The sequence below is a fragment of the Homo sapiens genome, chromosome 15 (genome assembly GCF_000001405.40).
Source record: "Homo sapiens chromosome 15, GRCh38.p14 Primary Assembly".
In the NCBI taxonomy this organism is placed as follows: Eukaryota; Metazoa; Chordata; class Mammalia; order Primates; family Hominidae; genus Homo; species Homo sapiens.
In genome coordinates this window covers 28,786,357-28,802,769 of record NC_000015.10, presented here as the reverse complement: position 1 = coordinate 28,802,769, position 16,413 = coordinate 28,786,357, and the positions used below count along the sequence as shown (strand labels likewise).

The window sequence follows — 16,413 nt, the reverse complement described above, 5'->3', positions numbered from 1 at the left end:
TTACCCAAGAGAACTAAAATATGTCCACATGAAGCTTTATACACGAATGTTCATAGAAACTGAAATGTCCATTAACAGGTGAAAGAGTTAACAAACTGCTCTATAACCATAAAATGGAATACTACTCCATAACCATAAAATGGAATACTGCTCAGCCACAGAAAAGACTCAAACTGATACACATAATATAGATGAATCTCAAAAACAGTAACTAAGTGAAAAAAAGCAAAACACATTCTAAGTATATACTGTACATACTGTAAGTACTGTATATGTATATGCTAGAATGATTACATGTATTTTAAATTGTATAAAAAGTAAAACTAAACTTAAGACAGGGAGCAGATCAATAGTGGCCAGGGGCCAGGAGAAGAAGGACTGGGAAAGGGGCATGAGAGAATTTTTTTAGGGTAACAGTAATGTTCTCTATCTTAATCATAGTGCCGGTTACATGGGTACATACATTTATCAAAACTAACTAAATAGCCAGGCATGGTGGCTCATGCCTGTAATCCCAGCACTTTGGGAGGTCAAGGCAAGAGGATCACTTGAGCCCAGGAGTTCAAGACCAGGAGCCCAGGAGTTCAAGACCAGCCTGGGCAACAAAGCGAGATCTCGTCTCTATAAAAAAATGAAAAAATTAGCCAGGTGCGGTGGCTTGCACCTGTGGCCTCAGCTACACAGGAGGCTGAGGCAGGAGGATCACCTGAGCCCAGAAGGTTGAGATTGCAGTGAGCCATGTTTAATGTTTACACCACTGCACTCCAGCCTGGTGACAATAAGACCCTGTCCCAAAAAACAAAACAAAACAAACAAAAAAATATATATATACACACACATAAACATATATATACATATAATAATAATTGAACTGTGTACTTAGAATAGGTGTATTTTGTGTGTGCAAAATATACCTAAAAATTTTTTAAACCAATGAATTATTTTCTTAGTATCCAATCCATCAGAAACAAAAATTGGTTCAGAACACTAAACGTACCATGTATCTGAGTTCATTTCTACTTCTCATTTCCCCCAAATAAATATCTCTTAAAATACAAATTTTTAGTCAAACATCCTCACCTTGTTTCTATAATTTCTTCCAACTATATTTGCTAGAGCTTCACAAATACAGTGTCCACCAAAAATAGTTGTGTGTGTCTACATTTTCTATTTTATATACTCTTGACATTTAGCTCTAAGCTCAGAAACTAAAATGTTCACAAACTAAAGAACAACCAAACGGAAAACTTTAGGCTCTAAAATTAAGCTCTACCTACCCATTTGCCAAAGTGGTGGCTTCTCTCATCTGAGCAATTGATCTGTTAACAAATCGGCTTTCCTCTGATCACAGGCAGCCAAAGACTGCCACACTGACACAGGCACCATCTCCTCAAACAGATCTAAGATTAGGAAGAGAAATTACAACAAAATTTTAAGACAAAAACCCGAACTGTAAAAGTGACTGTTCATATTTTCTTTTCAATATTCACATAGTCCATACATATTTGATATTTAAAGATCAAAATATCAATAGTCTATTGACATTTAAAGATCAAAACTAAATCACTATTTAAAGCACAATGATAAAGAGAATTTTTAGATCACTACATTCACCGACAATGGTGACAATGAAAAGTTTCTTCTTTGAACTTAATTTTCTTTAACTTTTTCAGATGTGTTCATCACTGAGTTTGAGGGATCTTTAGTGACGCTGTTCATTTGTTGATTAAACTGAATGAGGGGCCGGGAGCAGTGGCTAAGGCCTGTAATCCCAGCACTTTGGGAGGCTGAGGCAGGTGCCTCACCTGAGGTCATGAGTTCAAGACCAGTCTGGCCAACTTGGAGAAACCCCATCTCTACTAAAAATACAAAAATTAGCCAGTGTAATGGTAGGAGCCTGTAGTCCCAGCTACTGGGGAGGCTGAGACAGAAGAATCGTCTGAACCCAGGAGGCGGAGGTTGCAGTGAGCCGAGATTGCACCACTGCACTGCAGCCTGGGCAATAGAGCAAGACTCGGTCTCAAAAAAAAAAAAAAAATTGACTGAGTGGGTCACGGCAGCAGGATTCCATTTCTGGCTCCAACACTTCCTAGCTATGTGACCTTGAGGAAATTACTTAACCACTCTGTGCATCAGTATCCTCATCAAACAGGGCTAACAACAGTACCCATCTCAGGGCACTTGTGAAAACTAATGAGCCAATATTTGTAAAGTGCTTAAAGAGTACCTGGCACATGGTAAACACTTTGTGTTTGCTAAATAAACACATAATCACCCTTTCCCAGTAACAGGATATTCTCCTTGGGATCTCAGCTAGAGGCTACCATCTGCTGTATACATCTACTTATACTTCCCTTCAACCTAAATAATTATACCTTTTAACCATATTGACAATAATATGGAAATATCACTCAAGAAGAACCTAACAGACCATGGAATTATAATAATTTAAACCATCCTTTTATCAAATGACATGGTCAGAACTGGAGAGGAAAGAGGGATACTAGTAACTTTTAAGTCCTCTACTAAGGTTTTTTTAATAAAAAGACTTCCAACCCACTAGAAAATATGCTTACATTTGCACATACTCCAGAAAAACTAAACATAAATAAATTCCCCACTATGAATGTGTTATAGTGTTGATGTCCTGTGTTACAGTACATGCGTGTCATGAGCTGTCAGGAAATGTGTACACCATGCAGGAGGCTGGACCCTGAGTGAGAATGACTGCCAGTAAAAACTGCCTGGCAATGGGAATGGCCAAAGAACTTTTGTCAATTGGTATGTCTAAGATTCAACTTTAAGCTGATTTCTATAGTGAGGTACAATCCTTCATTATTCTAACACTTAGGTAATGAACACATGAAAGAGAAAGAAAGAGAGAAGAGCAAGATTTAGAATCTTGATGAGAATCTGGTTTTTTGTTTGTTTTGTTTTGAGACGGAGTCTTGCTCTGTCGCCCAGGCTGGAATGCAGTGGCGCGATCTCGGCTCACTGCAAGCTCCACTTCCTGGGTTCATGCCATTCTCCTGCCTCAGCCTCCCAAGTAGCTGGGACTACAGGCACCCACCACCACACCTGGCTAATTTTTTGTATTTTTAGTAGAGACGGGGTTTCACCGTGTTAGCCAGGATGGTCTCGATCTCCTGACCTCATGATCTGCCCGTCTCAGCCTCCCAAAGTGCTGGGATTACAGGTGTGAGCCACCGTGCCAGGCCGAGAATCTTAAAAATTATGTAACTTAAGTTTCTTCCTCATTCTTTTCCAGATTCTGAATAAAGGGGTGGGTTTGAGAGATGGAAAAAAACTTAAAATCAAAAGGTAGTCTTTGAAATTAAACACCATCATACCAGCCTGTGATTTTCCAAACATAGAAAAATCTTTTTAGCCTACTTCCTTCATTACCAAGAGCAAAACAAACCAAAACAGTAGATGCTAAGGTATAAACCTGATGCCACAAATGATACAGATCCAAACAAACACAAATACACACACACACACACACAGATTCAAAAATCACAACACTATAAATCCTAGGACCAATGAATCTAATTAAATCCCTTTTGTGTAATATCCCTATTAATATAGGACTAGAAGACATTGTACACTCAAAAATCCAAAAGTCTAAATTGCTTTCACATAGTCAAAAACACAGGATTTCCACTAACTCCACCACACTACCATATGTGGCTTTAGGTAGCTCAAAACTGAATTCCAAAATGAAGTATATTTTTGAGAGTAACAACTCCCAGAGAAAAACAAGGGCACACATATAGAGTTCCATGCTCCTCAGGAACTGCTAGGTCTGATCTTGGACCCTCTCTTCTACTAGGTTCGGCCTGGATGAATGTATCTGATGAGACCCACATACCTTATCAAGAAATGGCTGGAAAAGGCTAAAATCGTTTCTCATGTTCCCATTACTACAAAGTAAAAGCATGACAAGCTCTATACTTAAGTGTTTTGACTTGGTCAAACGCTAACACCGGGTTTGCTACAGTGTAAAATTAATCTAGAATGTAATCATTGATTCCATTTTCTTTTTATTCTTAAAAAAAAAAAGGGTGGTTGGGGAAGAAATCACTGCTTTTCCATTGCGCAGGTACTTTGTGCTAGAGAGCATGTGTCATTTCTAGGGTCTCAGAAAAAGAACAGATGTATCTATGTGTAAACACAAACAGTAAGTTACAAGTTGCCCCTTAGTACTGAAGGCAAGAATCAGCATCAGTACTCAAAAAAGTGTTTTAAAAAGAGTGTAACTTACTCTTACTGACCCAGGCTAAACGGGCTCTGTCTGGTGCTTCTTTGTCTGCACATGGCCACCCACAGCCTGTCTTCTAATTAAACCAATGCTCTAGCAGCAGAACAAGCAAACAAGTTGCCTCCCATCTGCATACAGCTCTTAAGGATACATTTCCCTTGTTCAGAAGGTGGAAATTCTTGGGAGAGGTGATTTTCTCTGCCTCTTCACAAGAAGAACATGGATACTTGGCTGGATGCAACTCCATGAAGCGTAACTGTGTGTGTACACCTCAAAAAATAAAAAATGCAGAGAAACATAAAGACTCCATAAACAGCTGGAATACACAGAAATACTGAAGCACCACTGGGAATACTGCTAAACAGACAGGCAAAATAGGATCTTTGAAATCATCAATAATACCAAGTTAAGAAAAAAAAAAAGGAAAAAAGAGCACCTAAGGTCAAAACTCCAATTTCATGCAATGAAAACATTGTAAGTACTACAAAAGAAAAAAGGTAAATATTCTACTTCACATACATAGAAACACATCCCACTCCCCTTACAGAGAATAAAAGATATTATCAATGGAAAAGAAAAATGAGATTTTCAAGGGTGGTAGGTCTAAAATTAGACTCACCAGCCACATTATAGTTAATGAGCACTTACGTAAATGTGAGCTAAATGCATCAAGCTGTCGTTCCAGTGTGGTCAGCTCTACTGGGGGGCAGGGGGTGCTGGGGAAAGAGCAAGGGACCACTCTGCTTATGAAAATATAATTTCTACAAAAATAAAAACGTACAGGAAATGAGATGCTCGTTTATTTAAATAATTTTAAACTTCCCAAATCACAGAAATGACCTTAAAGTAGATGCCCCTCCTTTTTTGCAATAAAAACCAAATGACTGAAGTAGGGTAGGGAGCAGGGTGTGGTTAAGCATCTGCTCACAAGAAAACTTGTTATAAGTTTGGTGAGGGAAAAGGGAAATGTATCAGCTCTTCCCAATGTCCCCTTCCATCCTAGGTATGCCCATATGCCATCAGGAAGCCACACCATCTCCATGACCACTAGGCATTTCAAGGACTGGCAGGCCGTAGAAGTTTCTTCTATCCCCCTGAGGCACACAGACAATTCCAGCCGGAAGTATAAAGCCCAGGGGAGAGAATATGGCCTATTCCTGCAGCTGCGCAAGAGGCCTGCGCTGGGGTCCACTCACAATGAACTACTCAAGTGTGACCAACATTCCCATTCTGGAGATCCCTGCCTTAAAGAAATGCAGACCTGGCTGGGCACGGTGGCTCACACCTGTCACCCCAGCACTTTGGGAGGCCAAGGCAGATGGATCACTTGAGGCCAGGAGCTTGAGGCCAGCCTGGGCAACGTGGCAAAACCCCGTCTCTACTAAAAACACAAAAAAAATTAGCCAGGTGTGGTGGCGCACACCTGTAGTCCCAACTACTCAGGAGGCTGAGGCATGAAAATCGTTTGAACCTGGGAGGTAGAGATTGCAGTGAGCCGAGATCATACCACTGCACTCCAGCCTGGGCGACAGAGCAAGAATCTGTCTCAACAACAACAAAGATACAGACAAATGTATAACAGTATTATATATAATATAAATATATAATGAAAATACCTACTTTCTTTCTCTTACATACCAAAATATCAGTCATCTGAACAAGTTATTCTTAAAGGACTTCCCTAGAGTTTACAAGCAAGCAATATTTGTATTACACAGAGATCCAAAGACGACGAACTGTTTTTAACAGAATGACTAAAAACTTGGCCCAATATAATCTGCCCTATAAACGCTAAAGCATTTGGACAAGAAACGAGTTTTAACCATGAATTAGCATCTCCCCTGACCATAGGGAGCTTTAAAGCATGAATTAAGTGAATAAAAAACTTCACAGTCCATTTTTAATAACAGAAGTTCAACAAAAGATTTTTAACAAAGGAACCTGTATAATTTGCCTTTTACTACATAAAACGTAAAAGCTATTCCTATCACTATTCTTTTTTTTTTTTTTCTTTTAGACGGAGTCTCAGTCCGTAGCCCAAGCTGGAGTGCAGTGGTGCAGTCTCAGTGCAGTCTCAGCTCACTGCAACCTCTGCCTCCTGGGTCCCAGTTCAAGCAATTCTTCTGCCTCAGCCTCTCAACTAGCTGGGATTACAGGAACGCGCCACCATGCCCAGCTAATTTTTGTATTTTTATTAGAGATGGGGTTTCACCATATTGGCCAGGCTGGTCTTGATCTCCTGACCTCGTGATGCGTCCGCTTCGGCCTCCCAAAGTGCTGGGATTACAGGCGTGAGCCACTGTGCCCAGCCCCTATCACTATTCTTAATACACGGTATTCTACCTACCAAAATAATCAGTTTTCAGAATGAATTAACCAAAATTTCTCAAAGGTTACAACAAGATCTTCAAAACCTCTGCGAAATTCATCAGTTTTCTCACAAAAGATTATAAATTACCTTCCAAAAGTCTGTCATTCATATTGCACCTATTATTACTCATTAGACTTTTTTAAACCAGGTCTTTGTACTTTTTAAGAAAAACACCATTGTGCAAAAGGAGCTTCAGGCAGTATTTTATAGATAGTTCATTTTCTATCAGAATCCATGAAACACTTTCTATTTTAGAAACAATCCTAAGAAAATGGTAGCATCATGACTCACCCAGTTCTATATCCACTTTTCTCAAAAAAGAAATTCACATTAGAAGTTTTACCATTTGAAATATGCAAAATTATGGTCTGGAATCTTAAATCCACTGTCACTACTTGATCCAAAACTATTTCAAAAGCAGCCAAAAAAGCAACTGGCATCCAAATGTATAGTCCCAAATATGAAGACCAAATTCTTTCACAATATTAATCTTCTCTGCTGTGAGTGAAACCAGAGTTGTACCATCCAGTGAACAGAATTCACTTTCTCATCAGTTATTAAGATAATCTCAAAAAAGCTATACGAAACAACAGGAATGAATCAACTTACCAATAAATCATTAAAATATGATCTATAAACTGACCTTTCCATTTCCTTCCCTACATTTTGAAGATAAACAAAATATACTTTGGAGTAATATCATTTGCATTTCCACACTGCAGAAAACCTCTCATACAGAAGCAGCCACCTTCCCTCCCAAAACTCTAAAGGGAGAAGGTGGTCAATTTAATAGATAGGAACTTTTGCACCTGCTCCTCCTTTACTTAAATGAAGAAAACACCTCATTCTGTTGTCCAGAAGTGACAGTCTTAAGATGACATCACTTGTCTGTAGCGGTGGTAAAGAAAAATAAAACGACACAAAATTATCAGTCTCTAAGAAAAGCTAAAAAATGATATGTCTGCATAATTCCCTTTAGTGTGTGTGGAACACACTACTACACACACACACACACACACACACACATATTTCTTTTGCCTTGTCTCTTCCTCCTTCACTGCATGGAGTTAAGATCAGTATACTTTTCACTATTTGGGAAAATACAAATTATCACATTTTTAAAATATACAGCCAGATACTCTTTCTAGGCAATAAAGACCATTAAAACATTTCAGTCATTTCAATCCACAATTAGTATTTAAGGAATTCATATCAATTTTAATATCTGCCTAAGTAATAATATAACGGGCAAGTTTTAAAAATATGTTTATGTATTGTTTCCTTAAGCTCAGTGGCAAGAACATCATTTTTTAAATCAAAAAGTATATCCCAAAGTCTAAAGAGAAGAGAACAATGACTGTTTGCATCTGTTCAATAATCCAGACATGACTTAACTGAATAGACTGACCAAAACTAAGATAAGTATTTATTCTCAAATTAAACATAATGCATTATTAATAAGGCTCTCCAGAATTTTTCTCAGCACTTTTCAGTATTCTGAAAGGACTCAATACTGCTACTTATATTTTTCTAAGTACAAAAATATTAGAATCCAATCTTCTTACGTCTTTCCATTGACCCAAGCTATTACAATACTTCCCCAACTGAAGTCCATCTGAAAACCTATCCTGTTTTAAGGTAATGAATCACAATTATTCAAGGTGAGAGAAACTGCAGGGGGCAGTATAAGCATGATTTCCAACATAATTCTTAAGATTTAGGAAAATTCTTCCTGTTAGTGTAAGCTTAACCTTAAACTATTAACATGTATTTCAATCAAAGAGTCCATAGAAAAGTTAATTGTTAAAGATAATTGAAATTCTTCCACAAATTTAATAATCAAAAGTTGAGGCCAGGCACAGTGGCTCTCACCTGTAATCGCAGCACTTTGGGAGGCCGAGGTAGGTGGATCACCTGAGCTCAGGAGTTCAAGACCACCCTGGTCAACATGGTGAAACCCCATCTCTACTAAAAAAAAAAAAAAATACAAAAATTAGCTGGGTGTGGTGGTGCATGCCTGTAGTCCCAGCTACATGGGAAGCTGAGGCACAAGAATCACTTCAGCCTGGGAGGCAGAGGTTGCAGTGAGCCAAGATCGCACCACTGCACTCCAGCTTGGGCTACAGAGTGAGAATCCATCTCAAAAATATATATATATATAAAATAAAATAACTAAAAGTTGAGGTGTGGGATGCTCTAAAGTCACTTGGGGAAGAATTCTATGCTACCATTATCCTTATGACTTATTCCAATCAAAAATAATAGAACAAGAAATTTTTTTCCTTTAAATTCATATCCACACTCTTAAAAAAACACAAGTTATCCAAAACTATAAGTCCACTTACTCAGGAGAAACTCATTATTTCAAAATGTATTCTTATCATTTTTAAGTATAAATAAGTAAATCCCTTAAAAGTCAGATTCAACACTAGGGGAAAATAGAATGAAATATTAAACATGATATATAAGTATGACTTAGGAAAATTAAAGTTATTCTAAGATAAAAAGAGAAACTTAATTTTATTCAGTTTTGCATTCATGGTTGCCATTCTAGTATATTCTCCAGCTACTCAATAACCTTCTTTCCCAAACCTATGCTGATTCCATGCAAGTAATTTCCAACTAACAATTGAATTAGTTAAGTTAGATGAAGCCCTCTTTGTGTGTCTGTTTTGAGTAAAGGTAACATTTGGTGGTAAATACATCTATCTTCTTTCTTATGTCATTTTTCTCCTCTGATCCTCAACATATAATTAAACTTTCTTTGATGCTGTAAAACTTGTCATTAATAGTTACCATAAATATTCATCTCATACATACCACTTCCAAAGCACCTCATAACTGTAATAATTGCTAACAGTTATGGGTGCTTACTACGTACCACACACTGTTCTAAGAGACTGTCCTGTATTAGTCATATATGAACTCAGTTAATCTTCACAACTCTGTGAAGTGGGAATTATTATCCTCATAAATAGGGAAACTGAGTCAAGGACAGACTGTGCCACACCCATGGACACATGGCTAATGACTGGTAGAGCTGGCATGAAATGTATCAGTCATATTAGGAGGGCATCACACATCCCCATGTAAGATTCAATAGAACTAGGTGCTCACCATATTCTTTCACCTTCCTTGACTACATTAGGACCAATCTGACATTACCAAGAGAAATTAAAATCTACAAAGCATGATCAAAAGCTCAGGTCCACAATTAAGCATGAGAATATACAGAAAACACGGCTAGGACTTTTGGTAAACACCTGGGCAATTTTCACAAGGAAAGGCATGAAAGGGTGCGTGCCCTGGTATGAGCGCCTGAATACAAGGGCCACAACCCAGTCAACCTGGAAATGTCGCCTTTAACTATCATCTCCTCCCTCAAACTCATCATTGTTTCGTCATCATGTCTTACTTGATTCCCTAAGGAGTATTCTCAACCAGAAAAATATTTTTCACGATAATCCTCTCAACTGATAGATACAAATCTATCTTCTCCAAGTTCGAGCAGCAAGTCAATCTTCTGAAGACCTCAATATCCCCTGCACAAATTCATCAAGGGTCCAAATCAAGAGAACTGAGAGGACCTCACTCTAGAGTATAAAAAATTATGGCAAACGTGAGAGCCTCCCCACTCAATTATTCGATGTCCACAGTAAACTGGGGACAAACCTAACCATAACACTGGGACAAGGCACACTTCACAGCACACAATTTCAGGGTATATATCTAACTGTTAGGTTCGTGAAGAATCTTCCCCTTCTACTTTAGGCACTTCTAGACAGTTGGAATTTATTTTTAAACAACAGAACATACATCACTTTTTGGGGGTTAACTTCAAGGATTTTCCTACTGAAAATGAGAAACTTCAGTATCCAGTCACTAACTTTTGTATTCATGAATCTCACAAAAAAAAAAAAATCAAGAAAAGGAAGGAATTTAACCAACTTTCATATTACTCAGAAAAGTCACCAATGAAAACAACAATATCATAGGCTTCTTCATAACTGTGCTAATATTGGTGGGCAACACTGGTCATATAATTTATGGTTGACTAACTCAACAGTTTCATGTCATTTAAGAACAATAAAGATAAACTCACAAGTATTTTCAATAAAACAGAGAAAAGAAATACCTCAAGTTCCACCAGTGCTGCAGTGACTGCGTCAGTTGCAAGAGCACCCGCCTGCAGCTTTTCAATTGCCTATGAAACCAAGGGGAGAGATTATTCATTGCAAAATCACAACTTCCCAAACTTTCCAAAAGCTTAAAGAAGTATGGGAGACACTTAGATTAATAAAAATTGACCACTAGTTCCATTCCATACTTTAAGACATAAACTACTCAGATTAAAAACAAGCAAGTGTTTATATTCAGGTTAATTGGTAATATGGCTCACTTAATATTATTCAAATTAAAACAATAACATCTAGCTATTAAATGAAAAGTACAAGGAATTTAGTAAGCTTAATTCATTGTAAGGCTATTCAAAATAGCCACAGAAATTGTATGACCCAGTTTGGTTCAAATATCCTGACAATTCGTATTTTATATAGATAACTAAATCTCAAACGAATCATTTCTCCTCCCCGTTAATACTCTCCATACCTAAAAAGAAGTGACTCTGAGTCACAGGGGCGCCGGAATCTGAGGATAAAAGCACACATTTGACAAAAACATTTTGGATACTATAATGTAAATTCTAAATCAAGATGTAACATATTATTTTGTAATATAAACTACACAGAATAAAGGTCTATAAAATCACCTGGCCTTGAGCATAAATTAGGAGAGGAAAAGAGAGAGAAGGAAAAGTCATTTATAAATGATTTATTAACATTTCAATTTAGTCAACAAAGAGAAAGCTCAAAAACTAAGAACTGTATTCCTAATTAAACTTTTAAGAAGTGTATTCATTGGAAATATTAAAGAGGCTAAATATACAATTCAAATGTATTAAATTTCTAAGACTATAGTTACATAAAATTTATTTTCAGATGATAGAAAAATTTCACACTTTGAAAAATAAGAAAAAATATAAAACAGCTTAGAGAACTTTTAGCTTTATTGTTATAAATTTCAAAAGAACAAAATCCCTGTAACAAAATATTCTTATTTATAGGGCTTCATTCATAAGAAAAAGCTTGAATCTCTGATAAAGTATAATCTTTTTAATGTTATGTAAATATCAACGAAAAGAGCAGAGAGAGACGCATATTTACTCGATATACAATATTCAACTAGATCCTATTTGCATAAAAAGTAATGGAAGGTTTGCCTACAAGACTAGTAAGAATCAAAATAAAAAACATTTCTTCTGAGTCCATTCCTGTCCCCACATTAAATATTCAACAGTTTAGCAAAACCTCAAAAACCAATGGGAAAAAAGCACAACTGAGTACAAGGGCAAAGCTGAACTCTGGAATGACAATGAACTTGCTATGATACAAACTACGTGATGAAAAACAGAATGAAAAAGTATAGGACAATCTCTCTTAAAAAAGCACCCATTTTAATTTTTTTATTTATTTTTTTCCCTTCATGGAAAAACACACTGACTGCCTTCAAGCTGTTTTCTCTATCCTTCTGTCTACAGAAGTTCAACATCGTTGCAAAGATTAAAAGAGATATGATTGTGTGCCCACAATTACAAAAATACAGACTTTAATCTGGGACGTGGGGAAAGAGCTAAGCATCATGTGGAGAAAGACACAAAACAACACAAAACGATCCCCTACAAAAACAAGCAAAATAATTTTGTAGTCCAAACCGGAAGACTGCCCTAGAAATGAAACTTTTAAATGTTGAATTTCTTTTTTTTTTTTTTTTTTTTGGAGTTGCATACATTTTTTTAATCCAAAGAAGTCAGCCTCCTAAGTATTGCTTAAACAGGTTTATCAGAATTAAGTAGGCACGACACTCATACTTTCAGAAAAGCATTTGCAGCCAGGGGAGTAACGTGGCACTCACCAGCATGATATCTGTTTTGCCAACTTGCTGAGGAACGAGTAACCTGAAATGAAGAAGCGAGAATCTCATCCTCAGCCCCCCAACAGCTTCCTCAGCTTCTTTTTATTCTGAGTCACTCCCTGAAACAGTCGCTGCATCTAAGACCAGCCTCGGGCTAAACCCAGCTGGCCTGAAGGCTCAACTCACATCAAACAGAGCTGGGAGTTGCTTTTGCGTGTGTCCGCAGTTTGAAGTGTCCTCTCCGAAGGTGAAGTGGAGGAAGCAGGTGCGCTCTGGGATGAAGTGCAGGGAGGCAAACTCTGGCTGGGTTCCTGTAAACATCCATGGCAGTTGCAAATAATGAGAAGCCGAGGCCAGGCCATCGGTGTGACGCTGCAGGCAGATGAGGTCTTGGGACGCCCCTTGCGTTCCCCCTTCTGTGGGAGCAGGTGCCTTCCCAATCTCAGCACTCAGTCCCAATCTCTCTTCCACTCTCCTGGGTCCAAACAGGAACCTCTCTGTTGGCACGAAGCTTTTGAGGGTAGCAGGCAGGCCTCGGAGGCAGGGGAGGGTCTCCTCCTGGGGAACCATCCCCGTCCAGATGGTGCCCCCAACCAGCTGCTGCGGCGCCATGATCTGGGCGGCTGGTCCAGGGCGTGGGTTGCGGATCGTGGAGGGAAGAGGGGAACGGCAGTCGAGACCCTACTCCAAGTACCCATCAAAGACGTCGAGCTCCGAGTCAGCATCGTAAAGGCCCGAGCCGGGGTCGGAGAGCACGCCGAGGTCCACGAGCGCCTGGTCCATGTCCTCGAACAGGAAGACGAGGCCCACGTTGAGGACGATGTACTCCATGAGGAAGGCGTAGTACAGGATCAGCACATTGACGAAGAACAGGCCCACGTAGAACATAGAGGGCAGCAGCGGCGGCGGCACGTAGGGGACCAGGGGGCCCAGTGCGTCCAGGTGGGCCGCGACCCGGGCGCCGAGCATGCAGCCGGTGGCAAGGGCGGCGGCGGCCCGGCGATCCCGGCGAACTCAGCCGCTGTGGCGCCCGGGCCGCCGGCGAGGGCACAGCGCAGCCATCCAGGGGTACCCTGGAGCCCGACAGAAGCAGGGCCGGGCTCCAGATGTCCCCTGGCAAATGCGCCCCGACCCCCGAAATGCGCCGGGCGGGTCACCGCACCCCGAGATGTGCCCCCAAGGCTCTTTCGACCGCCCTGAAGTGGCGGGCCCCCCTGAAGTGGCCGGCGGCTGCCCGGCTCCCTCGAGGCGCCTCCCTGGCGCTCGCAGGGCCTCGCAGAGCCGGCGGGGATCCCACCGCGGCTCAGTGTCTAGGGCCGGTCCCGGCAGCCCTCTCTCCCGCCCGGCCCCGCAGGTCCTAGCGTCGCCCTCCCCCCCGCGCCCCTGCAGGCCCAGCACCCATGGCTGCGGCCGCGGCGTCGCCCTCCGAGTCGCGCTCAGAGCCACTGCTTTATGTTCAAAACTGAAAAGCATAGATGATACACATTGCGTTGATACTCTCTGACAAGCTCGTTTGCATACATGTTTATATTCCTTGGCTTTGGATTCAGAATGATAAACTGCACCTATAGTAGAAAATAAAATCCAGTTGTTAATTGTTAAAATATCAAGAGACCTTGCTTATGTTATATAAATACTCCAATAAACTGATGCTGTCCTAGTAAAAAACAAAACTATTGCCCTAACTGTATGGAGTTTTATGATTTCTTTCTCCAATGTAAGCCTTTTTAATACCATGCCTTATCTCCGTTTTCAAAAGCTCTTTTCCTGCCAAAAGCCCTAAAAATAGCTCATGTCCCCAGAGGCTTCACCAAGGTCACCTCCCCTCTTCTTTTCAAGAAGCTTTTTCCAAATCAGGAGTTCTTTTGATCTGGAGCTAACAACCCAGAAGGTGTCAGGGACAGGGTCCCTCCAGGTTCCTCTCTGCTGAAAGCCCCTGCCATTTGGGAAGTTACTGTTTCAAATCCAGAATTCATAAGAATAATTCAGAAAGCTGGATTGCTTCTGAACAACATTGGAAGTTGAGGCATCTTACATCTCACATGTCCACAACCACCACCAATTGCACCATTCCTAACCAAACACTTCACGTCCTCTCAATAAAGTTGCTAGATTAGTCTCATTTCTTAAAAAGCTGTTTTTTGACAAAATGGGAGAAAATTTTCGCAACCTACTCATCTCACAAAGGACTAATATCCAGAATCTACAATGAACTCCAACAAATTTACAAGAAAAATACAAGCAACCCCATCAAAAAGTGGGCAAAGGATATGAACAGACACTTCTCAAAAGAAGACATTTATGCAGCCAAAAAGCACATGAAGAAATGCTCATCATCACTGGCCATCAGAGAAATGCAAATCAAAACCACAATGAGATACCATCTCACACCAGTTAGAATGGCGATCATTAAAAAGTCAGGAAACAACAGGTGCTGGAGAGGATGTGGAGAAATAGGAACACTTTTACACTGTTGGTGGGACTGTAAACTAGTTCAACCACTGTGGAAGTCAGTGTGTCTAGATCCTCAGGGATCTAGAACTAGAAATACCATTTGACCCAGCCATCCCATTACTGGGTATATACCCAAAGGACTATAAATCATGCTGCTATAAAGACACATGCACACATATGTTTATTGCGGCATTATTCACAATAGCAAAGACTTGGAACCAACCCAAATGTCTAACAATGATAGACTGGATTAAGAAAAGGTGGCATATATACACCAACGAATGCTATGCAGCCATAAAAAAATGATGAGTTCACGTCCTTTGTAGGGACATGGATGAAACTGGAAACCATCATTCTCAGCAAACTATCGCAAGGACAAAAAAACAAACACCGCATGTTCTCACTCATAGGTGGGAATTGAAGAATGAGAACACATAGACACAGGAAGGGGAACATCACACACCGGGGACTGTTGTGGGGTGGGGGGAGGGGGAGGGATAGCATTAGGAGGTATACCTAATGCTAAATGACAAGTGAATGGGTGCAGCACACCAACATGGCACATGTATACATATGGAACTAACCTGTACTTTGTGCACATCTACCCTAAAACTTAAAGTATAAGAATAATAAAATTTTTTTAAAAAGTTGCTTTTTGGTAGTTTATATGTAACACTGTAGTTCTATATGTACTTGCAAATAGCTATAGTACCAGTAAAAAATGTGATAAAATGAAACTCACATATGCCAAAAATACTTTGATTTAGCGCTTCATTAAGTGCATGATTATCTGCATCTTTTGATTTACCTATCTTTACAATTTTCAGCTGAGATACTTAGAGGTCACATAGTAAATTAAGGTTTTCTTTTTTTAAAATAATCTCCATCTTTCTAAATTTGGTGAGTCCAGTAAGTTATTTTTGAGATGTTGAAATCTGTGGCTTTGTTCTAAACTTGAGCACAGAAATCATGCCACTTACGAAATATGCTTTGTCTTCCAACATCAGAGTGTCTGGTAGAAGGTGACTGTTCTTGGAATTTAAAAAATCTTAACAGGAAAAGACAAGAATCTGGACACTTTTTCTGTTTCTGATAATATGGCTGAGTAGGTAGACATGCTGGCTAGTCCTTGCATAGATCAAGACATACTTGAACTTGCCAAAAAAAATAAAAAATCCAGAGTCTCTAAGAATGAAGATGAAGTGAAAATCAGAAGGGCTATTGAGAGAGTAATGGGGAAGCAGCCCCAGTTATCAAGGGACGTGTGCATGTGTTCATTAAAAAGTTTCAGATGTAAAAAAAGTTGAGAAAAATAATGTAACTGCCCTACATATACACATCATCAACAATTTTTCAT

General features: G+C 39.6%; 2 pseudogenes across 2 annotated transcripts in view; both read right to left on the bottom strand.

Annotated features, from left to right (window-relative positions):
• PDCD6IPP2 (PDCD6IP pseudogene 2) overlaps nt 1-12,936 on the bottom strand; it is a 66,741-nt pseudogene extending 53,805 nt beyond the window's left edge. Inside the window, exons 1-4 of the transcript NR_037599.1 lie at nt 12,789-12,936; nt 12,603-12,645; nt 10,768-10,836; nt 1,278-1,400 (exon numbers count right to left, since the gene is read on the bottom strand). The product of NR_037599.1 is annotated as a PDCD6IP pseudogene 2 (transcript). The remainder of the gene's footprint in view (nt 1-1,277; nt 1,401-10,767; nt 10,837-12,602; nt 12,646-12,788) is intronic.
• Nucleotides 12,937-13,377: 441 nt separating this feature from the next.
• LOC100289656 (Dexi homolog (mouse) pseudogene) lies at nt 13,378-14,527 on the bottom strand (annotated as a pseudogene). The gene is made up of 2 exons (NR_036475.2): nt 14,423-14,527; nt 13,378-14,167 (listed from the first exon to the last, which is right to left on the bottom strand). The product of NR_036475.2 is annotated as a Dexi homolog (mouse) pseudogene (transcript).
• Nucleotides 14,528-16,413: the final 1,886 nt, after the last annotated feature.